The sequence below is a fragment of the Homo sapiens genome, chromosome 17 (assembly GCF_000001405.40).
Source record: "Homo sapiens chromosome 17, GRCh38.p14 Primary Assembly".
In the NCBI taxonomy this organism is placed as follows: Eukaryota; Metazoa; Chordata; class Mammalia; order Primates; family Hominidae; genus Homo; species Homo sapiens.
Genome location: NC_000017.11, coordinates 76,239,280 through 76,265,100, shown reverse-complemented (window position 1 = coordinate 76,265,100; position 25,821 = coordinate 76,239,280). Strand labels below are relative to the sequence as shown.

General features: G+C 50.2%; 1 protein-coding gene and 1 long non-coding RNA gene across 8 annotated transcripts in view, besides 7 other annotated features; both read left to right on the top strand.

Annotated features, from left to right (window-relative positions):
• LOC105371896 (uncharacterized) lies at positions 20-24,239 on the top strand. 2 transcript variants are annotated; one of them, XR_007065913.1, is made up of 6 exons: positions 20-2,498; positions 3,837-3,979; positions 4,096-4,647; positions 9,333-9,470; positions 11,009-11,189; positions 20,607-24,239. It is a non-coding gene; the product is annotated as an uncharacterized LOC105371896 (long non-coding RNA). The 2 variants fall into 2 exon arrangements; XR_007065912.1 differs by having other exon boundaries at positions 20-3,979.
• Positions 301-350: an enhancer, noted in NCBI's record as "active region_12796". NCBI's record gives its function as "activates an Ori minimal core promoter by ATAC-STARR-seq in GM12878 lymphoblastoid cells {active_cell/tissue: GM12878}" and the evidence as "EXISTENCE:reporter gene assay evidence [ECO:0000049][PMID:35858748]".
• Positions 1,919-2,008: an enhancer, noted in NCBI's record as "active region_12795". NCBI's record gives its function as "activates an Ori minimal core promoter by ATAC-STARR-seq in GM12878 lymphoblastoid cells {active_cell/tissue: GM12878}" and the evidence as "EXISTENCE:reporter gene assay evidence [ECO:0000049][PMID:35858748]".
• Positions 2,819-3,113: a silencer, noted in NCBI's record as "tiled region #14042; K562 Repressive non-DNase unmatched - State 7:EnhWF". NCBI's record gives its function as "represses a minimal TATA promoter and a strong SV40 promoter by Sharpr-MPRA in K562 cells {active_cell/tissue: K562}" and the evidence as "EXISTENCE:reporter gene assay evidence [ECO:0000049][PMID:27701403]".
• Positions 12,922-12,991: an enhancer, noted in NCBI's record as "active region_12794". NCBI's record gives its function as "activates an Ori minimal core promoter by ATAC-STARR-seq in GM12878 lymphoblastoid cells {active_cell/tissue: GM12878}" and the evidence as "EXISTENCE:reporter gene assay evidence [ECO:0000049][PMID:35858748]".
• Positions 24,434-24,503: a silencer, noted in NCBI's record as "silent region_9007". NCBI's record gives its function as "represses an Ori minimal core promoter by ATAC-STARR-seq in GM12878 lymphoblastoid cells {active_cell/tissue: GM12878}" and the evidence as "EXISTENCE:reporter gene assay evidence [ECO:0000049][PMID:35858748]".
• Positions 24,524-24,663: a silencer, noted in NCBI's record as "silent region_9006". NCBI's record gives its function as "represses an Ori minimal core promoter by ATAC-STARR-seq in GM12878 lymphoblastoid cells {active_cell/tissue: GM12878}" and the evidence as "EXISTENCE:reporter gene assay evidence [ECO:0000049][PMID:35858748]".
• The window catches only part of RNF157 (ring finger protein 157), a 98,020-nt gene continuing 96,806 nt past the window's right edge, over positions 24,608-25,821 (top strand). For all 6 annotated transcript variants that reach the window (NM_001330501.2, XM_047435287.1, NM_052916.3 and 3 more), the window contains exon 1: positions 24,608-24,948. In NM_001330501.2, the coding sequence (NP_001317430.1) occupies positions 24,861-24,948 (88 nt within the window). In that variant the 5' untranslated portion in view covers positions 24,608-24,860. The remainder of the gene's footprint in view (positions 24,949-25,821) is intronic.
• Positions 24,968-25,640: an enhancer, noted in NCBI's record as "H3K27ac-H3K4me1 hESC enhancer chr17:74235542-74236214 (GRCh37/hg19 assembly coordinates)". NCBI's record gives its function as "activates a minimal SCP1, AML or CMV promoter by ChIP-STARR-seq in primed H9 embryonic stem cells {active_cell/tissue: H9 hESC(primed)}" and the evidence as "EXISTENCE:reporter gene assay evidence [ECO:0000049][PMID:30033119]".

Below are 25,821 nucleotides of genomic sequence, written 5' to 3'. Positions count from 1 at the left end.
TGGCTCATCCGGCCTCGTGGTTGGTCACGGCCGGGCGTTCGGGGCGGGGCCGCGCACTCTGATTGGCCTCCGGTGGTCCTGTTTGAACTCAACTTGAAAACCCGGAGTGCCTGCTGATTGGCCGAGGGCCCTCTGTTTGCTGTTGTAGGCTTGGGGGTGGTGCGGCCAAGTTCATTCATTACTTCATTGAAACAGAACATGCTCAGCTGGAAAAGCAAGACAGAGTGGCTTTGACTCATTTCCTCTGAAAGATGTGGTCATCTCGAGAAACAGAATGATCAAAATAGAAAACAGAGCCTTTGCAGCTGCTCAAGTCTCAAAAGCATGTAATTTTTAAAAATAACTTTCAAGCAGTCCAATTTAAAAAAATCTTTTATTGAAATATAACGTACATTAGGAAAGTGCGATGTCGCAGGTACAGCTTCCAGACTTTTCACCAAGTGAACACCCAGATCAATTAACAGAACGTTACTTGCACCCTAGGAACCCGCGTCCTGCCCTCTTCTAATCACTACCCACCGCAAGGATCGAGCAGTATTTTCTCAGTTTTTAGACCAAAGACTTTGCTCTCTGAAGATGGAAGCCAAGATTTATGTACAATAAATACGATATGCAAGGAAATATGCAAGGAAAAAAGTGAGACTTTCTCAGTGGCCAAAATGCCAAGTCAAGAATTTTTTCTTGTTAAATCGGTTGACCTAACTGAAGCTTTAATTTTCTTTTTTTTTTTTTCTCTTGCTTGTCACGAAAGCTAAGATGAAGCTTTAATTTCTACCATCTTTTAAAAAAACAACGGGTGGCAGTAGGGGTGGAGTCTGGGGTTGGGATGGCTTACACCTATAATCCCAGCACTTTGGGAGGCCGAGACAGGAGGATAACTTGAGGCCGGGAGTTCAACACCAGCTTGGGCAACATAGCACAGACTCCATCTCTACCAAATAAAAACAAACAATAACAAACAGTGAGTGTTTCTACAGAGATACTGTTTCTCAGTGGTAGCCCTTTAAAGTCCAAAATTTGGTGGTGGTGGTTGTTAGATAGGGCTAGAGTGACATGATCATGGCTCACTGTAACTTCGAGCGATCCTCTTGCCTCAGCCTCTCGAGTAGCTGGGACTACAGGCACACACCACCATGCCTGACTAATTTTTGAATTTTTGGTAGAGATGAGATCTCACTATTGTTGCCCAGGCTGGTCTTGAACTCCTGGACTAAAGTGATCCTCCTGCCTCAGCCTCCCAAAGCACAGGGATTACAGGTGTGAGCCACCATGCCTGGCCCCAAATTTGTTTGTATGTGCTGAGCTTCCATCTTCTGGATTAGAGTTTGATCTTCAGGGCTGTGTTTGAGAATTGTGGGGGTAGGAAAAGAACTAGGAGTTTAAGCAGATTGGGGAAGGGGCAGAAGAGATTGGGAAGATAAATATTGTTAGGGATTCACTGTTAAGAGTTTCTGTTTCAGGAGAACTTTGTGAGTTTTTTATCTGAACTACTAATTACAGAGTGTATTTTAACCAGCTAAAGGTCTGCAGAACAGAAGGAGGCTTATAATAAGAAAGCACGTCGTGGTTCTATCTTGACTTTGCCTAAATTGGATTTAACTCCCTATCTAAGAAAACTTGACAGTATGTATTTTTAAAGTTTACAAACAAGAAGAAGATTACAATTAATGTTAATGTTTCTGTACTGATGAAAAACAAATTCAGGTACTATCATGAGCTCATTCCATTTGGTTCGTTTTTTGTTTATTTGTTTGTTTTGAAGGAGTAGGAGTCAGCTTTTTCCTGGGAATGGCCCTGAAGTACACGTGGGCTGGGACCTGGCGTGTGGCTGGAGACTCCAGTATAGCTTGCAGCCTTCCCGTCCAGTAATTGCAAGGTGAAAACAAAAGTGAGCAGCTGGCAGCATACACTGCCAGGGAGCTCAGGCCGCAAGCAGCCCAGAAGAAGGAAGTACTGTCACTGTGGGGCTCCAGGTTTTCATAAGTACATGCGGGTGTCAAACATGCCAGGGCCGTGAGTAGGAGGGTCTACCCTGGGGAGAGACATTTCTGGCTGTAGTGGAATGTCCCCTATGAGCCCGTAGGTCTTAATTCAGAAGTAAGTTCCCAAGGAAAGCAAGAGTCCAAAGTTGCCAAACCTGTTATTTCCTGGAAATCAAGGCAGTTTATCCAGTTTATGTAATGTTTAACAATTGCAGGGCCCAGCTGTGGGCACCTGGGCGGGGCATGGAGGGCAAGGCCCCCAAGCCAGAGAGACTCAGGTACTAGTTATCTTCTGTGGGCCTAAGGTCACTCAGGAAGAAGGAAGGAGAGCAACAGAGCCCGTGATTTGTGGTCCTGAGACATGGAAGTGCTTAATCCATATTTTGGCTTCTGAGAATCCGGTTGGAGATGAGTAGCTGGGAAACTTAGGACTGTCCCACTCCTGGGAGAATGAATGAGGTCATGTTTGTAGAGGGCTTTGAGCTGATGGGAGGAAAGCAACTTCCTAAATGCAAGGTATTATTAACTGAAGGTACTATTATTTTAATCTGAGAGGACAATGTATGGTAGGTAAAATAGAGCAACTTTGGGAGGCCGAGGCGGGTGGATCACGAGGTCAGGAGATCGAGACCATCCTGGCTAACATGGTGAAACCCTGTCTCTGCTAAAAATACAAAAAATTAGCCAGGCATGGTGGCAGGCGCCTGCAGTCCCAGCTACTCGGGATGCTGAGGCAGGAGGATGGCATGAACCTGGGAGGCAGAGCTTGCAGTGAGCCGATTTTGTGCCACTGCACTCCAGCCTGGGTGACACAGCGAGACTCCATCTCAAAAAAAAAAAAAGGCTTGAATCACAAATAAAACATGGTATCCTCAGAAAGAAAATCCTTGTTACATCAATGGTCTGGGCTCCAGGACAAGCGGTGAGGCAGCAACCAAGAAGAGAAACAATCTTAGCAGTATTTCCTCCGTTCCCGGATGACAAGGTTGTTGTGAATGCAAGTCATTGAATGAGTCCTGAAACAGGCACACAATAGCCGGACCATAACAAGCAGCTGCCAGTTACCAAGCACTTCCTGTGAGCCAGGCAGCTCTCTAAGACTTGAATGTCTATTAACTCATTTCAATCCTCCCCCAAATCCAGAATCTCATTTCACAGATGGGGCTGCTGAGGGACAGTGGAGGGGAAGAGTGTCCAGCGGTGGAGCGAGGCAGTGGTTAGCTCACCCATGCTACCTCCCTTCCCGCTGCAGCTGTCACTTCCGTGGGACTCTCAAAGGGCCCCTTCCCCAAAAGATCTATAGAGGGCACTAAGAGTTCCACTGGAGATGCTTGAAATGAGTGAACCCTCCCCGCCTCTGTGGGGATGGGGAGAAAAGGACACCAGCTCTCTTGGGTAATGGGTTTGGGGGAAGGGTAGAGAACTGGCATTCCCAACCTCCATCTCTGCAGTGCGTTAAATTCTTGTTCTGGCCGGGCGCAGTGGCTGACACCCGTAATCCTAGCACTTTGGGAAGTCGAGGCGGGCGGATCACTTGAGGTCGGGAGTTCAAGACCAGCCTGGCCTATATGGTGAAACCACCGTCTCTACTAAAAAAAAAAAAAAATACAAAAATTAGCCAGGCGTGGTGGTGCGTGCCTGTAGTCTGTAATCCCAGCTACTCGGGAGGCTGAGGCACGAGAATTGCTTGAACCCCGTAGGTGGAGGTTGCAGTGGGCCGATATCGTGCCACTGCGCTCCAGCCTGGGCGACAGAGTGAGACTCTGTCTCAAAAATAATGACAATAAAAAATAAAAATAAATTTTTGTTCCTTTCTTCCTCCTTTCCACCTCTTATTTCCCTAAATCCAAACAGATCCAACAAAGCTGAAAGATGGAATCTGAGGGCTCTCAGAACTCCCAATAGGCCCAAGGCTCAGAGAGGAAACAAAATCCACTCAAGGTCATGAACACTCGCTTTTCCCTGCTGACTGATGGTAGCACTGGGATTCGATTCAGGTTTGGTTGATCCAAAAGCTCATTTCCTTCCTCCCTCCCTTCCTTTCCTTTCCTTTCTTCCTTTCTTTTTTCCATCCTCTAATTTTTATTTCTTGCTTCCCTATTGTTTCTTCAAGATGCCAGGACAAAAGGACAAGGTGGCCAAGAGAAGTAGAAAGGTGTTGAGAGGAGAAGGAGAATGGGAAAGGGCCAATAAGAAGACAATGAAAACAAGCAGCGCCAAGGCAGCTGGGCCAGGCTGGACTCACACACTCCCTGAAGGCTCGGGTCCAGGAGGCACTGGTGGTGCGATGGTTTTCTTCTCCTTTTGAGGATTTCCAACGCTATTGCTAGCCTTTGTTTGTTTAACATAACCTATTTTTTGCTGCTATTTTTCCTTGCAAATTTATGCTTTGTTTTTCTTTTTTTGGAGACAACTTCTCGCTCTATCACCCAGGCTGGAGTGCAGTGGTACGACTTCGGCTACTACAACCTCTGCCTCCTGGGTTCAAGCGATTCTCGTGCCTCAGCCTCCCTAGTAGCTGGAACTACAGGCATGCGCTGCCACACCCGGCTAATTTTTGTATTTTCAGTAGAGACAAGGTTTTGCCATGTTTTCCAGGCTGGTCTCGAACTACCTGCCTCAAGCGATCTGACCGCCTCGGCTTCTGAAAGTGCTGGGATTACAGGTATGAGCCACCATGCCCAGCCAGTTTGTTTGTTTTTTTTGAGACACGGTCTTGCTCTGTTGCACAGGCTAGAGTGTAGTAGCTCACTGCAGCAACCCTCAACTCCCCTGGGCTCAAGCAATCCTCCAGCCCAGCCCCCTAAGAAGCTAGGACTACAAGCACACAACACTACAACTGGCTGATTTTTATTTTTATTTTTTTTGCCCAGGCTGGTCTTGAACTCCTGGCCTCAAGCGATCCTCTCACCTTGACCTTACAAAGTGCTGGGTTTACAGGCATGAGCCACTGCGCCTAGCCATTTTTTGTGTGTGTGTGTCTATTCTTTTGCCTCAAAGAGGAAGGAAACTGAGCAGAAGGGCTGCTTCTACTCCAGGCATATCCCAGTCTTCCTGGGTGATGAGAAGAGCTCTGTCTATTGGGAACACACTAAGAGCCCAGCTCTGTGCTATATTTGGATTTTACATCGTTTAATAATTTTTTTTCTTTTTTGAGACAAGGTCTTGCTATGTTGCCCACACTGGTCTTAAACTCCTGGGCTCAAGTAGTCCACCTGCCTCGGCCTCCTCAAGTGGTAGGATTACAGGTGTGAGCCACTATGCCTGGCCTGGGTTACATCATTTAATACTCACAACTACCCAATTAGGTGGGACTCTGCATATCCCCAGTTAATAAAAGGGAAAATGAAGGAGGTCAGGGTCGCTAAGTGATTTGCCCAACATCACTCGCTAGCTCAGGGAGCTGAGATTTGAGCCCAGATACTTGGTGTTTGCTTCCAGAGCTGGCTCTCTTAATGATCACATTCGACTTTGTAAGCCCTGTCCGCCCCCTGGAGTCCCCCTTAGCTCTCCCTCAATGATACTGAAAAGATACAAAAGCTTATCTGTGCTGTTGGAAGCAGCAGGATGGTGAAAGCCAATTCCCCAGTGATGAATTCATTGCTGGCTTATGCCAGATTACATTTTTCACCAATTGTCACATGTCCCACAAGGGACAAAGGCCGCACCACTCCCAGCACAGTTAATGGCATTTCCTAAAAGCAGCACTCTGACTGGTGAGTACTTTCTGTCCTGTACCTGCCAACCCAGTGATAAGGTGGCCCTGCCTCTGCTTGCTAGGTGTGTCTAATGGTAGGTGAGTCCCTGGCAATCTTTCTTTTTTTTTTTTTTTTTTCTTTTTTTGAGACACTTGCTCTGTCACCCAGGCTGGAATGCAGTGGTGCGATCTCGGCTCACTGCAAGCTCTGCCTCCTGGATTCAAGCGATTCTCCTGCCTCAGCCTCCTCAGTAGCTGGGATTACAGGCGCCCACCACCACGCCTGGCTAATTTTTGTATTTTTAGTAGAGACAGGGTTTCACCATGTTGGCCAGGCTGGTCTCTAACTCCTGACCTTAGGTGATTTGCCCACCTTGGCCTTCCAACGTGCTGGGATTACAGGCATGAGCCACCATGCCCAGCGCTGGCAATCTTTTCAAAGAGACACTTGGCTGGACACAGGAGGTTGCCTCTCTGCTAAGGAAAAGACAAGAAGTAAAAGCTTTCTAAGGAGGGTCCTCCTTCTCAGGGGTCCTTAGTTATCTGCTCAGACTCAGGACTCCCAGCCACTTTCTCTGGGGAGGACAGAAATGGATGGGCCTGGAGCTAGGCCACTATAGCTTCATGTCCAAAACACAAGAGGCCTATTGTTGTGGCAGGCACTGACTTCAGATACAAGGCAGCTTTCCCACCTGGCCCGCCCTTTTTTTTTTTTTTAAGAGTGTCTCAATGTCATTCCAGCTGCAGTGCAGTGGTGCAATGCAGCTCACTGCAGCCTCGACCTCCCGGGTTAAGTGATCCTTCTGCCCTAGCTTCCTGGGCAGCTGGGACTACGAACATGTACCAGTGCCCCAAGAGGCCCCCAGCTGCCCAGGCCAGGTCTCAGCCCCATCTCCGTGGGTGCGCCCTGCAGGATGGTGGGTGGGAAGCAGATGTAGAGGTAGCAGTTTTAAGTATGTAAATATTGATCTACTGTAATTGAAAATAAATAATTTCTAAAATTGATAAATCAAGAAATGGCAGTATAATCATTTTATTCAGGCCGAGGTGGACAGATCACTTGAGCCCAGGAGTTCAATACCAGCTTGGACAACATAGTGGGACCCTGTCTGTACTACAAAATAAAAAATTTTAATTTGTGGCCGAGTGCCGTAGCTCATGCCTATAATCCCAGCACTTTGGGAGGCTGAGGTGGGCAGATCACCTATTGAGAGGTGACAGCGTGCTGGCAGTCCTCACAGCCCTCGCACGCTCTCCGCGCCTCCTCTGCCTGGGCTCCCACTTTGGCGGCACTTGAGGAGTCCTTCAGCCCACCGCTGCACTGTGGGAGCCCCTTTCTGGGCTGGCCAAGGCCGGAGCCGGCTCCCTCAGCTTGCAGGGAGGCGTGGAGGGAGAGGCGCGAGCGGGAACCGGGGCTGCGCGCGGCGCTTGCAGGCCAGCTGGAGTTCTGGGTGGGCGTGGGCTTGGCGGGCTCCGCACCAATGGCAGGGCTCATTGCCCTGCCGGCCCGGGGCAATGAGGGGCTTAGCACCCGGGCCAGCGGCTGCGGAGGGTGTACTGGGTCCCCCAGCAGTGCCAGCCCACCGGCTCTGCGCTCAATTTCTCGCCGGGCCTTAGCTGCCTTCCCGCGGGGCAGGGCTCGCGACCTGCAGCCCGCCATGCCTGAGCCTCCCACCCCCTCCGTGGGCTCCTGTGCAGCCCCAGCCTCCCCGATGAGCGCCGCCCCCTGCTCCACAGCCCCCAGTCCCATCGACCACCCAAGGGCTGAGGAGTGCGGGCACACGGCGCGGGACTGGCAGGCAGCTCCACCTGCAGCCCCAGTGCGGGATCCACTGGGTGAAGCTAGCTGGGCTCCTGAGTCTGGTGGGGACGTGGAGAACCTTTATGTCCAGCTCAGGGATTGTAAATACACCAATCAGCATCCTGTCTAGCTCAGGGTTTGTGAATGCACCAATCGACACTCTGTATCTAGCTACTCTGGTGGGGCCTTGGAGAACCTTTATGTCTAGCTCAGGGATTCTAAATACACCAATCGGCACTCTGTATCTAGCTCAAGGTTTGTAAACACACCAATCAGCACCCTGTGTCTAGCTCAGGGTTTGTGAATGCACCAATCGACACTCTGTATCTAGCTACTCTGGTGGGGCCTTGGAGAACCTTTATGTCTAGCTCAGGGATTCTAAATACACCAATCGGCACTCTGTATCTAGCTCAAGGTTTGTAAACACACCAATCAGCACCCTGTGTCTAGCTCAGGGTTTGTGAATGCACCAATCGGCACTCTGTATCTAGCTACTCTGGTGGGGCCTTAGAGAACCTTTGTGTAGACGCTCTGTATCTAGCTAATCTGGTGGGGACGTGGAGAACCTTTGTGTGTAGCTCAGGGATTGTAAACGCACCAATCAGTGCCCTGTCAAAACAGACCACTGGGCTCTACCAATCAACAGGATGTGGGTGGGGCCAGATAAGAGAATAAAAGCAGGCTGCCGGAGCTAGCAGTGGCAACCTGGTCTGATCCTCTTCTACACTGTGGAAGCTTTGTTCTTTGCAATAAATCTTGCTAGTGCTATGCACCACCTTAAGGGCTGTAACACTCACAGCAAAGTTCTGCAGTTTCACTCCTGAGCCAGCGAGACCACGAACCCACCAGAAGGGAGAAACTCTGAACACATCTGAACGTCAGAAGGAACAAACTCCAGACGCGCCACGTTAAGAGCTGTAACGTTGGCGGCTTCATTCTTTTAAGTCAGTGAGACCAAGAACCCACCAATTCCGGACACACTATGGTTAGGAGTTTGAGACCAGCGTGGCTAACATGGTGAAACCCTGTATCTACTTAAAATTAGCCAGGCGTGGGGGCGGGCACCTGTAATCTCAGATACTTGGGAGGCTGAGGCACGAGAATTGCTTGAGCCTGCGAGACGGAGATTGCAGTGAGCCGAGATAGCGCCATTGCACTCTAGCCTGGACTACAGAGCATGACTCAGTCTCAAAAAAAAAAAAAAAATTTCTATAGCTGTGTTCCAATAAAAAAAATTTTTTTTGAGACAGGGTCTCAATCACCCAGGCTGGAGTCCAGTGGCTCCTTCTTACCTCACTGCAGCCTGGACCTCCCAGGCTCAAGCCATCCTCCTGCCTCAGCTTCCTGAGTACCTGGGACCACAGGGGAGCACCAGCATGCCTGGCTAATTTTCAGCAAAACTTTATTTACAAAAACTGGCAGCAGCTTCACGGCTACAGTTTGTCAACTCACAGCTGGGAGAGAGGAGGGAAGATTCCCCATATGGGTCATGATATTACTGCCCCAAGGGGAGATTTTCTTGAGTCACTGCAGCCGCCTTTGTATGGGTGAGAAGGAAAACTGTCTGTTACCTCGGTATGGCTGAGCCTTACCTGATGAATCTGAGGCATCTCTGGGCCAACCTGACAGCATGTGCCGCTTTTCATGGATGAAGGATGTATGCCCCCCACCCCGTCTCCTTCACTGCCCAGAGCACGTTCATTCCAGCCATTGCCTGTCCAAACTTAGCACCCCCACAGGCTCCCAACAGATGCCCTGAATGTGTGTGGCTATGAACTTGCTTTGGTTTGCACTGTTCTCTCTTCCAAAAATTCCCTTTCTTCCCCTTCCTGTTTATCCAAATCCTTCCCAGGTTCAATTTTCCCTGCTCTAAGGAGCCTTCTTGGATTATCTCCTTATGACCTGTGGTTGCTCGTTTGGGTCAGAGTCGCTGTCTGAGGTCACAGAAAACGGAAAAAGGGCCAGCCCTTGCTTGGAGGAATCTACCTTGGTAAGAGAACTCCACTGAGCTCACCCACCAGAAGTTAGGGAGAGGGACTGGGTCACATATGCAGTGGAATCAATGTGCCAACCCACAATGCATTGCTCAGGGATACACATGTATAGGATTAAATGACAATGAAAAGCAAGGGACCGATTAATGCAAATTGGAGGATACTGAGTCTCTGGTGAAGAAAGGAGGATATGCATCTGGGAGAGGTCATTCAAGAGTCTTCAAAGGTCTTGGACTTCTTAAATTCTGTGTCGGGGACACAGGTGATTGTTTATTATTCTTTAAATTGTGTATATTCCAGCTTAGCCAACATGGCAAAACCCCGTCTCTACTAAAAATACAAAAATTAGGTGTGGTGGCATGCGCCTGTAATTCCAGCTACTCGGGAGGCTGAGGCATGAGAATTGCTTGAACCTGAGAGGCACGAGGCTGCAGTGAGCCGAGATCTCCACAGCACTCCAACTTGGGTGACAGAGCGAGATCCTGTTTTGTTTTGTTTTTTTCTGAGACGGAGTTTAGCTGTTGTTGCCCATGCTGGAGTGCAATGGTGCAATCTCGGCTCACTACAATCTCCACCTCCCGGGTTCACGTGATTCTCCTGCCTCTGCCTCCCAAGTAGCTGGGATTACAGGCATTAGCCACTGTGCCCAACTAATTTTTGTATTTTTAGTAGGGACAGTGTTTCACCATGTTGATCAGGCTGGTCTCGAACTCCAGACCTCAGGTGGTCCACCTGCCTCAGCCTGCCAAAGTGCTGAGATTACAGGTGTGAGCCACCGTACCTGGCCTCTGTCTTTTTTTTTTTAATTGTGCATGTAAATTATAAACACACTTTGGGTGTATGATTGTTTTTTCTCAAAAAATAAAATGCAGAGCTGGGCACGGTGGCTCACACCCATAGTCCCAGCACTGTGGGAGGCTGAGGCGAGTGGGCGGGTGGATCGCTTGAGCCCAGGAGTTCAAGACCAGCCTGGGCAAAAAAGCAAGAACCCATTTCTACGAAATATAAAAAATTAGCTGAATGTAGTTCACGCTTCTCAAGAGGACCTCAGATATTCTTCCACAGTGTAGAGAAAAATACTCTGTCCGTGGTCAAGGCCTGCCAGCTATTGTGTGTGCCTGCTAGTATGCTGACAGTCAGTCCTACTATGTGTGTGTGTTAATGCACTAATGTCTACCTACTGTGCATTAGGTCAGTCTCCCTACTGTGTGCCTGCTAGTGCACCGTCATTACACCTATTGCATGTAATGCCTTGTGATGGCACATTCCAAAGAGGGAAGGGTCTGACAACCACTGTGAGGCTGCCAGGGAACCCACAAATTCCCCCAAGTCCTGATCCTCCTCTGAAGACGTCGACGTCTCCTAGCTCACCGTTTCCCAGCCACTGGTGAAATCCTCAATACAGCCCCCTTCACAGCCCATGCAGTTTCTCCACTGCTCCCCTTGTATGTGACCCTGGGGCGAACCTCTCCTCCTTTGGAACCTTGATCTCCCAGTTTATCTCCCAAATTAATAATTTTTTTTATTTGAGTAGCTGCAATATACAAGCCATAAGCCATAACGATGTCCTCTCTGGCACTTTGCACCATATGGAACATGCCAGCAGACAATGAGAGGACTGAAGAGCTGAGCATCGGCAATGAAACGCTTAGCCTGGGAGCACAGCACACGCTGCATAACGACCTTTCTGTCAATGATGGGTTGCGTCTGTGAAGGTGGGCCCACTCAATTAGAATGCTGTATTTCTACTGTATCTTTTCTATGTTTATTTATTTATTTTTTATTTTTTTTGAGACGGAGTCTTATTCTGTCCCTCAGGCTAGAGTGCAATGGCCTGATCTCGGCTCACTGCAACCTCCGCCTCCCGGGTTCAAGCGATTCTCCTGCCTCAGCCTCTTGAGTAGCTGGGATTACAGGCACCTGCCACCATGCCTGGCTAATTTTTGTATTTTTAGTAGAGATAGGGTTTCACCATGTTAGCCAGGCTGGTCTCAAATTCCTGACCTCAAGTCATCTGCCCGCCTTGGCCTCCCAAAGTGCTTTTCTATGTTTAGATGGACAAATACTTCACCACTGTGCTACAATTCCCTACAGTATTTAGTATAGTAACATGCTGGATAGGTTTGTAGCCTGGGAGCAATGGCTATGCCACATGGCCTAGGTGTGTGGTAGGCTAGCCCATTTAGGTGTGTGTGAGTACACTCTAGAATGTTCACACGACGACAGAATCGCCTAATGACGCATTTCTCGGAGCGTATACGGGTCTTTAAGCAACACATGACTGCAGTACACCTTTGTTCATGGTTCACTGTCCCGAAGAATCATGTGGCCTCTTCTAACTTGACGCGGGCAGCAAAAGAGAGCCTCTGCATACCCGAAAGTAGAGGACGGGGGTCAGGTGAATGTCAGCTCCTCATTGCCTCCACAGGCAGCCAGGCTGTGAGTCAAAGAGGATGAACCTATTTTCACTTGGTTATCTTTAAATCCCAGAGTCCGGCTGGGCGCGGTGGCTCACGCCTGTAATCTCAGCACTTTGGGAGGCCGAGGTGGGCGGATCATTTGAGGTCAGGAGTTTGAGGTCAGTCTGACCAATATGGTGAAACCCCGTCTCTGTTAAAAATACAAAATCAGCCGGGCATGGTGGTGCATGCCTGTAGTCCCAGCTACTTGGGAGACTGAGGCAGGAGAATCGCTTTAACTTGGGAGGCAGAGATTGCAGTGAGCTGAGATCAGCCCATTGCACTTCCAGCCTGGGCAACAAGAGCGAGACTGTGTCTCAAGGAAAAAAAATTCCCAGAGTCACAGAGGAAATTTAAATGGACTAGGACTCAGCAGAAGGGAAAGAAATGTTAAAAGAAGCCAGAGTTTCTGATGAGATCATGCTTGAGGCTTTAGAAATTGTCAGGAACTCAGGAAGCCCGGGTATAGTGAAAAAAAAAAAAAAGTGAAAGAGAGAGAAAATCAAAAACAGAGAGCAAGAAACAAGTGCTGGGAAGAGAGGAGTTTGTTTACCATAAAGCCCCTGATTTGTTTGCCAGGATAGGTCCCCTTCTCCTTCAGAAACACAGCACCTCCAGAGTGAATGATGAATGAATGCCATTTCTGACCCCAACAGCCCAAGCCACACAAATCATTCTTTGGGCCAGGCATGAGGTGCTGTTAATAAAACACAGAGCCAGTGTTCTGCCTAAAGAGGAAGGAAGTATTTACTGAACACTAGAGCACTGGGTTGTACACAACCGAATTGGGAAACCACTAGAATATGCCTCATCACGAACAACATCCGTGCCACACGCTCCCGTGCCCAACACGCCCTGGGGCCTGGGAACAGTCAGAGAAAATCTTGTGTCCTGCCTTTGGGAGCTTCCAGATCAGAGCTGACCCACTGACCACACTGTGTACAGAGTCCAGTCATCAGAAGGGATTGAGCAAGGAAACAGGGTGTCCATCCAGCCCTGAAGGCAGGCAGCTGCCTACGCACTTCATGGCAGTGTTTGCAGGAGGACAGGTTACTCATCTGCTGGAGCTCTTAGAGGGAAGCTTAAGGCCAAAGAGGACTTCCATAGACAAGAGCTTCCCCGGGCCTGTTGAGGAAATAGTCCCGATACAGGAAGGAGATTGATAATACAGAGGGAAGTGAGGAGGAAAAGGAAGAAAGATTAAACCTAGAGAGAGGCACAGTGAAGGTGGAGGTGGTGGTGTGACAATGATGGAGACGTCCCCATGCATTGCCCTTTGTCACTGGCACCACCCTGGGAGAATCACTCCGCTAGCTTGGTGGGCAGTAGGGCTGGCACCCAGGCAGGCTTTCCCCACAGAGGCTGGTGAGATGATGATCCATGGGTAAAATGTAGGACTTTGAACCTGGAAGAACCTGGGGCCAGTTCCTGCTCCCTGTGCCTACTTGAGTTCCAGTTTCCTCATCTGGGAAGTGGGAACAATAATACTTATCTCTTAGGGTTGTTTTGAAGATTAAATGAGGCTCAGGTGGGAGGATCGCTTGAGCCCAGGAGGTTGAGACTGCAGTGAACTGTGATCACACCACTGCACTCCAGCTCGGGTGACAACGCATTCCAAAGTGCTTGGACAGAGTCATTGCTCAAAAATGACTATTCTTGGCTGGGCTCGGTGGTTCACGCCTATAATCCCAGCACTTTGGGAGGCCAAGGCAGGTGGATCACCTGAGGTCAGGAGTTCAAGACCAGCCTTACCAGCATGGTGAAACCCTATCTCTACTAAAAATACAAAAATTAGCTGGGCATGGTGGCATTCACCTGTAATCCCAGCTATTCGGGAGGCTGAGGCAGGAGAATCACTTGAACCTGGGAGGCAGAGGTTGCAGTGAGTCAAGATTGCGCCATTGCACATCAGCCTGGGCTACAGAGGGAGACTCCGTCTCAAAACAACAACAACAACAACAACTAAATAGTCATTCATTTAGTGAGCACTTTCTATATGGGAAGCAATGTACCCAGCCCTTCTGGGGGATTAGAAGAAACCTAAGACCAGGGGTATGCTGGTAAACTGGCTCTGGAGAATGGGAGGAAGCTGTGATTTGCAGCATTTGATGGTTTCTGTGTTGTAAATACTCCCATTACGCTACCAACAATTTAACAACTGGCTGGCAAAATTCCTGAACTATGAGCCCTGGAGAGCTGGCCCCAACTCAGTGAACTTGAACATTCTTTCTAGTTAGCAAATGGCACTTAAGTGAGAAGTTAACAATGGCAGAAGGCCGTGCACGGTGGCTCACGCCTATAATTCCAGCACTTTGGGAGGCTGAGGCGGGAGGATCACCTGAGCCCAGGAGTTCGAGACCAACCTGGGCAACATAGTGAGACCCTATCTCTTAAAAAAAATAGCCGGGTGTGGTGGCGCACTTTAGTCCCAGCTCCTCAGGAGGCTGAGGTGGGAGGATCGCCTGAGCACAGGAGGTCGAGGCTGCTGTGGGCCACGTTCATGCCACTGTATTCCAGCCTGGTGACCGTATCTCAAAACAAAAAGCAAACCCCCCAAAACAATGGCAGACAAACTCTGACCCACAAATACACACATCCGCAAATACACACACCACACACGTCCACAGATGGCTAATCCAGACAGCAGGGGCAAGAGGGCCGATTAGGGGCCTTGCTTTCTTCTAGTGCAGTGACTTGTTGGCAGTACTTTGTTAAGAAGGAGCAGGGCTGGGCTATCTTTTTCTCTGGCCCTTTAGCAGCCACCACACGTGATAAGGGAGACATGTTTCTGGCATTTTGAGTTTCAATGAACACAGAAAAGTGATGTCTCAGGAAATCGAAACCCCTGGGCTCTGCCTTCACCTGGTATGGGAAGTGCGTGGACCTCGGTTTCATCTTGGGCAGACTCTCAAATACATATCCTGACTTGGAAATCCAGAAACTCTGACTTTAAAATTATTATTATTATTATTATTTGAGACGGAGTCTCTCACTGTCACCCAGGCTGGAGTGCAGTGGCTCAATCTCGGCTCACTGCAAGCTCTGCCTCCTGGGTTCACACCATTCTCCTGCCTCAGCCTCCCAAGTAGCTGGGACTACAGGTGCCCGCCACCACACCTGGCTAATTTTTTTTTGTATTTTTAGTAGAGATGGGGTTTCACCATGTTGGCCAGGATGGTCTCGATCTCCTGACCTCGTGATCTGCTTGCCTCGGCCTCCCAAAGTGCTGGGATTACAGGCGTGAGCCACCACGCCTAGCCTTAAAAATTATTTTTTTGGAAGCTAATCTCTTTGTTAAAGAAGGGATTTTTTTTGCTTTGTTTTTGCTTTTGAGATGGAGTCTCGCTCTGTCACCCAGGCTGGAGTGCAGTGGTGCGATCTCGGGTCACTGCAACCTCTGCCTCCCGGGTTCATGCAATTCTCCTGCCTCAGCCTCTCAAGTAGCTGGGATTACAGGCACCCACCACCACATGCAGCTAATTTTTGTATTTTTAGTAGAGAAGCGGTTTCACCATGTTGGCCAGGCTGGTCTTGAACTCCTGGCCTCAAGTGATCCGCCTGCCTCTGCCTCCCAAAGTGCTGGGATTACAGGCATGAGCCATCATGCCCAGCCAGCTTTTTTTTTTTTTTAATTAAAAAAGTTAGCATTCATTGAGCACCCGCTGTATGTCAGGAACTGTGTGAGGGCTGCACATGCTTTGGCTAACTTAATGTTCAAAGAGCTCTTAGATGTTCTCATGGATGAAGCATAAATGAACTCAGAGAAGTCAAAGAACTTTCCCAGATACACAGCCAATAATGGAAGACCTGGATTTTGAACTTTGCTCTGTTTGACTCTAGAGCTTTATGAAGTTGATCCTTCAAGTCCCTGAGTTCCATATCCATGGATCCAATCAACCATGGATCAAAAACATTAGAAAAGAGGCTGAGCGCAGTGGCTCATATCTGTAATCCCAGCACTCTGGGAGGCCAAGGTGGGCAGATCACCTGAGGTCAGGAGTTTGAGACCAGTCTGGCCAACATGGTGAAACCCCATCTCTACCAAAAATACAAAAACTAGCCAGGCGTGATGGCGCATGTCTATAATCTCAGCTAGTCGGGAGGCTGAGGCAGGAGAATCGCTTGAACCCAGGAGGCAGAGGTTGCAGTGAGCCGAGATTGTGACACTGCATTCCAGACTGGTTGACAGAGCGAGACTCTGTTTAAAAAAAAAAAAAAATTAGAAAAGAAACAATGAAAAATAATACAATAAAAGGTAATACAACTATTTGAATTGTATTTGGTATTATAAGTAATCTAGAGATGATTTAAAGCCTACCCGACATTGTGCATAGTAGGTTGTATGCAAATACTGTGCCATTTCATATCAGGGACTTGAGCATCCAAGGATTTTGGTATCTAGCGCCAATCCCCCATAGATACAGAGGGACAACTGTATATGTCTTTTGCCTTTGTAGACTGAGGGCATCTTGCACATAAATATCAAGTTATACTGAAAATAATTCATGCAATAGAACTTCTGAGAAAGAAGAGCCACCTATTGGCAGCAGTTCTCAGAGGCGGCTTCATGGAAGAGGCAGGATTTCAGCTGAGTGGAATTCACCTTGGCAGACAGGAATGGAAAGGGCACAAGTGGAAGGGTTTTTTTGTGAGCAAAAACATGAGCGGGAGCCACACGCAGTGGTTCACGCCTGTAATTCCAGCACTTTGGGAGGCTAAGGTAGGTGGATCGCTTGAGCCCAGGAGTTTGAGACCAGCCTGGGCAACATGGCGAAACTCCTTCTATAAAAGGGGTTTTGTGTCTACCAAAAATACAAAAATTAGCTGGGAGTGGTTCTGTATGCTGGTAGTTCCAACTACTCGGTAGGCTGAAGTGGGAGGATCGCTTGATCCCGAGAGGTGGAGGCTGCAGTGAGCCGTGATTGCATCACTGCACTCCAGCCTGGGTGACAGAGCAAGACCTTGTCTCAAAACAAAACAAAAACAAAAAACTCATACATGAGCAGGAATGATAAGCTGCATTTGGGGTATGAGCAGGTGTTTATTGGGAAGCAGAGAGAGGAAAGGGCTCAGGGATGAAGCACCTGTCTTCTGTAAGGTAACAGGGAGCCACTGAAAGTATATAGATAAGGGAGTAACATGATGACAGCTGTATATTGGTGACGCTAACCTGAGAATAATTTAGAGAATGGATAAGGGGAAGGAAGACCAAGAGGTAGGAAAATAGGAAAACCAGAGAGGAAGCTAATGAAATTACCAGACCTCTTTTCATACACAGATTTCATCTTGGAATATAAAAGATAACAGGGGCCAGGCACAGTGGCTCACTCATGTAATCCCAGCACTTCGGGAGGCCGAGGCAGGTGGATCACCTGAGGCTAGGAGTTTAAGCCTGGCCTGGCCAACATGGTGAAACCCCGTCTCTACTAAAAATACAAAAAGTTAGCTGGGCGTGGTGGCGCATGCCTACAATCCTAGCTAGCTACTTGGGAGGCTGAGGCATGAGTATCTCTTGAATCAGGGAGGCGGAGGTTGCAGTGAACCAAGATCGTGCCACTTTACTCCAGCCTGGGCGACAGAATGAGACTCTGTCTCAACAACAACAACAACAAAAAATAAATATGTTTATTATATTTATTATATTTATATCTTTATAAACAAAGATATTTATTATATATTATTATTATAAAAAATAATAATAAAATAAAAGATAACAGGGCCAGGCGTGGTGGCTCACGCCTGTAATCCAAGCACATTGGGAGGCCGAGGCAGGTGGATCACTTGAGGTCAGGAGTTCAAGACCAGCCCCGCTAACATGGTGAAACCTCGTCTCTGCTAAAAATACAGAAATTAGCTGGGCATGGTGGCGTGCGCCTGTAGTCCCAGCTACTCAGGAGGCTGAGGCAGGAGAATCGCTTGAACCTGGGAGGTGGAGGTTGCAGTGAGCCGAGATCAGGCCAGTGCACTCTAGCCTGGGTGACAGAGAGACTCCATCTTAAAAAAAAAAAAAAAGATAACAGGATACGGCTAACAATGTAATAAATATATACCTCATGGTGCGTAAAAAAGACCTAAGGCTTCCAATAGCTTACTGTGAGAACCATAACAGTGAGTGGTATTTCTGTTTATTACTTTGTCAGGATCAACACACAGTCTTTGAAATACCCTAATAGGATAGTAGTTATCACATAAATAAACAAGCAATTTGCTCAGAAATAAATGTGTCATTGTAAACAAATTGCTTGTCTGTAGTGGACTTTGGCTGGCACTCAGACTTTAGCTGGACACACTATTAGCATGCATACGGCACTTTTAACCTACTTGCTAAGAATCTGATCTCCTAACCCTCAGTGGCCTCTCATTTCTCTTTTCTCAGCAGCCCTTTGGTTCCTGTGCCTGGGAGGAGTTAGGTGACTGGTTGATCAGTTCAGTTCTGCAGCCCTGACCTCAGCTCCAGTTTCAGAAGAGCAGAGGGAGGGTGCAGGGAGTCTCCAGCTGAGAGGAGCTCAGTGGTTTTCTGATTCTGACTTGAGCACAGTTACAGACAACTTTCCTGTGAGTGCAGTTGATTGCATGCTCACACTGATATTGCAACAGCTGAACACGTGTGTGCACTTGTGTTGAGCTTCAGAGCTCAACCTCAAGTCGGCTTGTCCTCTTATGACAGCTGTAGGAGATGGCTCACCAAGGAGAGACAGAGAGAGATAAAACCAGCATAGCACCAGCTTCCCATATCAAGACCCAGTGCACAGGGAGCCAGGGATCCCTGGGTTCTGAGCTATGGCTACCACTTGTATGGTCTTGGGCAAGCCCCTTACCCTGTAGAGGTTGCAGCTGCCTCATCTGTCAGGGGAGGGGCTGTACCTTTGAGATTCCTTCCAAATCTGACCATCTAGCCAGGACAGGCATTTTCAAGAAACCCTGTTTGTTATTTTCTTCTTTTGATCTAAGTAACCGCAGGTGAGTATTTGTTTTGTTAAAGAAAGGTTTGGGGCTGTCACCACGCTGCCGCTTCCACATTCTACCTTTTCTAGGTAGCAAGAGGCAGACGCTGGGCTTTGTGCCTATTTGGTCTGGTCTGTTTCTCCAAGAAGGGCAGCTGGAGTCGATGCTGGGCTGAAATGTTCTTTTTTTTCCTTTTTTCGAGACAGGGTCTTGCTCTGTCACCCAGGCTGGAGTGCAGTGGCGCCATCTCTGCTCACTGCAACCTCCACCTCCCGGGTTCAAGCAATTCTTTTGCCTCAGCCTCCTGAGTAGCTGGGATTACAGGCGCGCGCCATCACGCCTGGCTAATTTTTGTATTTGTAGTAGAGACAGGGTTTCACCATGTTGGGCAGGCTGGTCTTGAGCTACTGACCTCGTGATCCACCCGCGTCAGCCTCCCAGTGCTGGGATTGCAGGCATGAGCCACCGCGCCTGGCCTGCACAGCTAATTTTTAAATATTTTTTTTGTAGAGATAGGATCTCACTATGTTGCCCAGGCTGGTGCTGAACTCCTGGGCTCAGGCAATCCTCCCACCTCAGCCTCCCAAAGCACTGGGATTACAGGTGTGAGCTACCAGGCCTGCCCTGCCAAGCTGAAATGTTAGCCTCACACTTTTTTTTTTTTTTTTTTTGAGACGCAGTCTCCTTCTGTGGCCCCAGGCTGGAGTGCAGTGGCGCAATCTGGACTCGCTTCAACCTCCGCTTCACTGGTTCAAGCGATTCTCCTGCCTCAGCCTCCCGAGTAGCTGGGATTACAGGCGTGTGCCACCACGCCTGGCTAATTTTTGTATTTTTAGTAGAAACGGGGTTTCACCATGTTGGCCAGGATGGTCTCAAACTCCTGACCTCAGGTGATACATCTGCCTCGGCCTCCCAAAGTGCTGGGATTACAGGCGTGGGCCACTGCACCCAGCCCGCACATTCTTTTTACACCAACTTTAGGATGCAGAATGTGTAGTCCCAGGTGGAGTGAGCTCAAAGCCAAAAGAAGAGCAGGACCAACAAGGAAGAGAATGAAGGCAGAAGTGAACAGGTAGAACCAAGCTTACAAGGTCTGGTATTTGATAGAAACAACAAAAAATAGAACAGACTCTCCCAATTTCTTCAAACTAGTCTGTAAACATAAATAGAGTCTTGGGCCCCTCATTTCTCCAATGCCAGATGCCTGGGCAGCAGGGCTGGAACCAGAGTGAGGCAGGTGAGGCAATTGCATGACACTGAGAGTAAGAACTGTTCTTTTTTTTGAGATGGTGTCCTGCTCTGTTGCCAGGCTGGAGTGCAGTGGCCTGATATCAGCTCAGTGCAAACTCCGCCTCCCGGGTTCAAGCGATTCTCCTGGCTCAGCCTCCCGAGTAGCTGGGACTACAGGTGCGTGCCACCATGCCCAGCTAATTTTTGTATTTTTAGTAAAGATGGGGTTGGCCAGGATGGTCTCGATCTCTTGACCTCGTGATCCGCCCATCTTGGCCTCCCAAAGTGCTGGGATTACAGGTGTGAGCCACTGTGCGTGGCTGAGAATGAGAACTTAAAGTTGACATTCTGGGTGCCCCACTCACTTCGCCTTATCCCCAACACATTGGGCCGTGTAAACATCATCTTTCATTTTAGTCTTAACTTGAAAAATAGATTAATAGGCTACAAACTGGACTGGAGTCTGCATCCATTTGAACAACTCTTCTTTATTGGCAGCCCAGAGTGGAGGACGAAATTAACAATGAGGAATTCACACTCAGCAAAAAGCAAAATATGAAAGCCTGATTGCGGATTTCCTAATGGACAAGATTATTTTCCTCTACAGAGAGCCTTAGGTTGCCAGAGGAACCATCTGCAGGGCCCCAAAGCATTTAGGATCAGACTATTCTGTCGACGTTAGCCTAGCCCACTGATCTGGAGCAGGATGTGACATTCTCCGCTGGTGGTTTTGGCTTCAATCCACCGAAGCCACATGTCGAGGACTAAAAGAGGGATCGGGCCCATGTGTGGCTGATTGGGCCCTATCTTCTGGAGAGAGCTGGTACTCATTAAGAACAGCCAAGATTCTCATCTTCCTGTCCCAAAATCAGAGACCTTTCTTAGCTCTTTCAGGTCACCTGAGATACTGGTTTGCCTCCCAAACCCTGCTGCCTCAGGAATGCTGTGCTGCAGGGCTGTGTCTGTCAGTTTCCACCTGCAGGCTCCCTCACTCCTTCCTGCACTAAGCTAATCATTGCATGTGTTACAAGGGTGGAAATGGCACATCTGGGCTGAAACCAGGACAGCAACATGAACAAAATGAAAAGTCCAAAGGGACAAGCTCACCTAAAAATTACTTGTCCCCGTACTTCCCCCACCCTTCTCCTTTCTCCCTTAGACCCAAGTTGCAGAAGAAGAGCTTCAATGTGATAGAAATACCTGGCTTTGCCCCTTGCCTTCCAGGGATGTTTAGAGAAAACCGCTGAGACCCTTGGATGTTGTGTTGTCTGCTGGGATTCTCCCAAGGGCTGCATCCATAGTGTGGAAATGGATAGGGTGCTACAAGGCTATTTCCACAAAGCACGTGTGGTATTTGCATGTGATTTCCCTATGCACACTGTGCAACCCCTCCCCAGACCATTTTTCAAGTTAAAAACATTTTTATGGCTCTCTTGGTGCAGTCACTTCTGGATTTTTCCTCCTATCTGAGCTGCCTTCTCCCTCGGGCACTCTCCCTGGCCCAGATCTTTGGCGAGGGAGCCAAGTGGAGCCAGGGAAGAACCATAGAGGAATGCAGGACTCAGCCCCTCTAGAGTCGGCTGCTCCGAGGGTCTAGCTGCTTATCTCGCCTTTGCCCAGGGCACTGGCTGAGATTCTATTTCCAAAATTGTTCACACTAGGTGATTACACTGTAGACTGTGGGACTGTAGCTCAATTCACAAAAAGTCTCTTTGATCTAGAAGTTTCTAAACTGCCTTCTATCCGTTTCTCTTCTGTCTCTGGTCAACATTCTTTTAAAAATGAGTCTTGGCTGGGTGTGGTGGCTCACGCCTTTAATCCCACCACTTTGGGAGACCAAGGCGAGCGGATCACCTGTGGTCAGGAGTTGGAGACCAGCCTGGACAACATGGTGAAACTCCATCTCTACTAAAAATACAAAAGTTAGCCGGGCGTGGTGGCGGGCGCCTGTAGTCCCAGTTACTCAGGACGCTGAGGCAGGAGAATCACTTGAACCCGGAAGGTGGAGGTTGCAGTGAGCCGAGATCACACCATTGCACTCCAACCTAGGCAGCAGAGTGAGGCTCTGTCTCAAAAACAAAACAAAACAAAAGAGTCTTGATTCACTTATTGCATCTTTGCAATAACCATTGGAGACTGGGCTATTTTCAGAGGAGGAAACGGAGACCGTTTCTAAGGGCTTAAGTCAAAGTTACATAGCTGCTTAGGGGTTTGATTTGTCCAACTCAAAGTCTAGTGCTCTTTCTGTGCCTCATTCTCTTCGACTGTAAAATCGGGGTGTAAATAGCATGTATTTGATAGGGTTGTTGGGAGGGTTGAATGCTTTAATACGTGTGAAGTGTTTAAAACAGCCTGGCACATAGAGTGTTCCATAAATATCCACTAATTTTATTGTGCTATGCCTTGTTTTTCTTTACTATTCTAAGCATTGGACTCATGACTCCTTCGTGGGAGGAGGAACCAACTTCTAGGCTTGGGGAGTATTATTCAAGATGGAGAAGCTGGCTTCCCAGGGTCAGGCCAAGGTGGGACCAGAAGAGACACCCCATAAGCAACAGGACTGGGCTGCTTGACTAAGCCACATCCCTGCCTGGCCCTGGCTAAGCAGAAGAAACTCTCAGACATGGATAAACCCACAAAGGGAAGGGATGTCCCGTTTACAAAATGCCGAGGGCAGGAAGAACCAAGGCTTCTGAACAGAGCCGAGGAGCATAAGGCAACATTTTACTCTGTGATGTGTCGAAGGCCTTGTGTTTTGAGGTGGTTCTAGATTCTTATTTGCATTTTACCTTTACCCAGCAGTTACAAGGTAGGGCCTGTGTGTGCTGAAAGGAGTATGGAGGAGGACACCAGTTCCCTCCCACAGGGATGACTGAAAGCCCTGGAGTAGTTAGGACCAGGGACTCTGCCAGAGAGCTCTGGTGCTTGGGAGAAGCTGCCGGGGCAGGGACTTGCCCTGTAACCCAAGCCTTCGTTAGCAGCAGCCAATATAAATGACAGGGATGTGTTCCCACCATCCTGAGGACCCTGGAGGAAACCAAGGCACTTAGCATCAGGTCTGTTGGCTGCTGCTGAAAAGACGGCAATGAAAAATACGAAATGTGCCGGGCGCGGTGGCTCACGCCTGTAATCCCAGCGCTTTGGGGGGCGGAGGTCAGGAATTGGAGACCAGTCTGGCCAGCATGGTGAAACCCCATCTCTACTAAAAGTAGAAAAATTAGCCGGGTGTGGTGGCACATGCCCGTAGTCTCAGCTACTCGGGAGGCTGAGGCAGGAGAATCCCTTGAACCCAGGAGGCGGAGGTTGCAGTGAGCTGAGATCACGCCACTGCACTCCAGCCTGGGCGACAGAGGGAGACTCCGTCTCAAAACACAGAAAAACAAAAACAAAATATAACCAGGAAAGACCTAGACTCCGTAAAATAGCTTTACAAACCTAATCAAGGGAACCAGACACCCCAAACTGTACTTCGAACACTGTTGAAAAGTTGTGAAAGTCATGTTCTAGCAGTTGAAATGTTTGCTGATCAGTCCACTCTCTCAGGAAAAAAAACACCAGACCCACAAAGAAAATAGAAGGTTTAAAACACAAATGTCTGTAATTAAGCAATGGAATGACGTCTTCCGCCGGCCCAAGCTTCCCACTGTTGTGTGTGTTTTTATCAACAGGAGCTCCCGGTTCTGCCTGGCCCGGTTCGCTTTCGCCTGCGTTGACTCTCTTGGCACTCAGGCCTTTCCAAAGTTTCCGGGGTCCCGTTTCCACGATACAGACAGAGGCTGGATGTCTTGATCTTATCCTCAGTCGATGTTCTCCTAACTTTAGGGCTACAAGGAGCCTTAAACAGCATGTATAGAGTTGGGAGCGCTTTGAATAGACGCACGTGAGAGGGAGGCGGCATCTTCCTAGCCGGTCACCAGCATTAACACGGGGCAGGAGACATGCGAATGCACCGTGGGACCCCTCTCCCTACCCCCCTGCATGAGATTTCCGAAGACCTCCGCCGGCCGACGCTGAGGGGCGGGGTTGGGAAGGCTTCCTCCAGGCGCGGGAGCAGCGGAGCGGGGACCGCCCGCTTTGGGACGCCCAGGACAATGGCGAGCGAGCTCCCGGCCAGTCCTCGCGGACCGCGGGAGGGGGCGGCTCCCTGCGCGGTAATCCGAGCCGGGATAAACAGGCGCGGAGGGGCGACGCGTCCCGGCCGGGTGCAGCGCTCGTCTCCTGGGGTCCCAGCTCCGGCCGGTCCCGCCCCGCCCCGCCGCGGGCACCCGGCCGCGCCCCCGTCCCCGTCGCGAGTCCCCGCCCACGCCCACGCCCCCGCCGCGAGGCCCTGGGCCGCGTCCACGCGCGCCGAGTCCAGCCGCGGCTCCCCGCGCGAGGCACGCGCCGCCGGCTCCTGCTGCAGTCCCGCGCTCATTGGCTGCTCCGGCGCGGGCGCTCCCGCCCCGCCTCGCCATTGGCTGGGGCCGCCGCGGTCCCCGCGCGGAGCGGCCGCTGACATCACGCGGCCTGAGGCGGCGGCGGCGCCCCCGGCCCAGACCCGCAGCCCCCTTGGCAGAGGCGCCGCCGCGGTGCCCGGCGGAGGATGGTGCGCGGCGCGCCGGGGGCTCCCCGCCGCCAGAGCCGCAGCGCCGCAGCGGAGCCGGCCGCGGCGGGCAGTCGGCCCCCGCACCGGGCGCGGGGCGGGCGGCCGCGGTGAAGCGCGGAGGGCGGCGCGGGCACCGGGGCCGGGCCGGGGCTGCAGCCGCAGCGGCCATGGGGGCCCTGACGAGCCGGCAGCACGCGGGCGTGGAGGAGGTGGACATCCCGTCTAATTCCGTGTACCGCTACCCGCCCAAGTCCGGTGAGGGCGGGCGGGCGCCGCAGCCGCGAGGAGGGAGAGGGGCAGGGGCAGGGGTCTGGGTCGGGACGGCCTGAGGGGGCCCCGCGGGTCTTCGGGGACTCAGTGGTTGCGGACGCTCCGAAACGGTCTTCGAGCGCGGGAGGTCTTCGAGAAGGCCGAGGTCTCCCCCGCCCCGGGCGAATTAGCCCAAGGGGCGTCCTGCCGGGTCTAGCAGGGTCACCGAGGGCACCGAGCCCCTCCACGGGAGGACGGGAGCGGCCTCCATTGTAATCGGCCCCGTGACGGGGACGCGTGCCCGCAGGGACCGAGGCTCCTGGGGAGCGGGGCTGCGGCGTCGTAGGCGAGGTCGGCGCCCCGCACGGACCCGGCCGGCCCGGCCCAAAGCCTACCTGCCTCGCGGGGTCCGAGGGCCGCGAGGGAGGCGACCTCGGCATCCAAACAGGCACTTGCGCCAGGTGCTATCCCTGCGCTGCCGTCTCCTGGCCTCTGGAAAGGTTAGAATTAGGTTTCTCCTGGAAAAGCTTCCATTGCCTGCTGAAGGATGGAAGCCAAACAGGCATTTGCAGTGCTGGTGCTTTTGCAGAGGCTGTCAGAAGCCGGGGGGTGGGGGGGGTGGTGGTGGTGGAAAGTAACAGAAATGTTTGGGAATCTGAGTATCAGAGTTACTCGGATTGCCCCTTTGCTAGCGTAGTGGCAAGCCTGGGTTTTGGAGTGGGACCAGCTCTGGGACAGGGCAGAGGTATTGGAAACGTATAGAAGTATGTTTGTTATTAGAATCATCCCTTCACTTAAATGTCTCTAGCCTCTGGATTGTGGTATCAGCATTGGAGGTGGAGGAGGATTTTGACAGCAAAGCAGAGAATCACAAGGTAG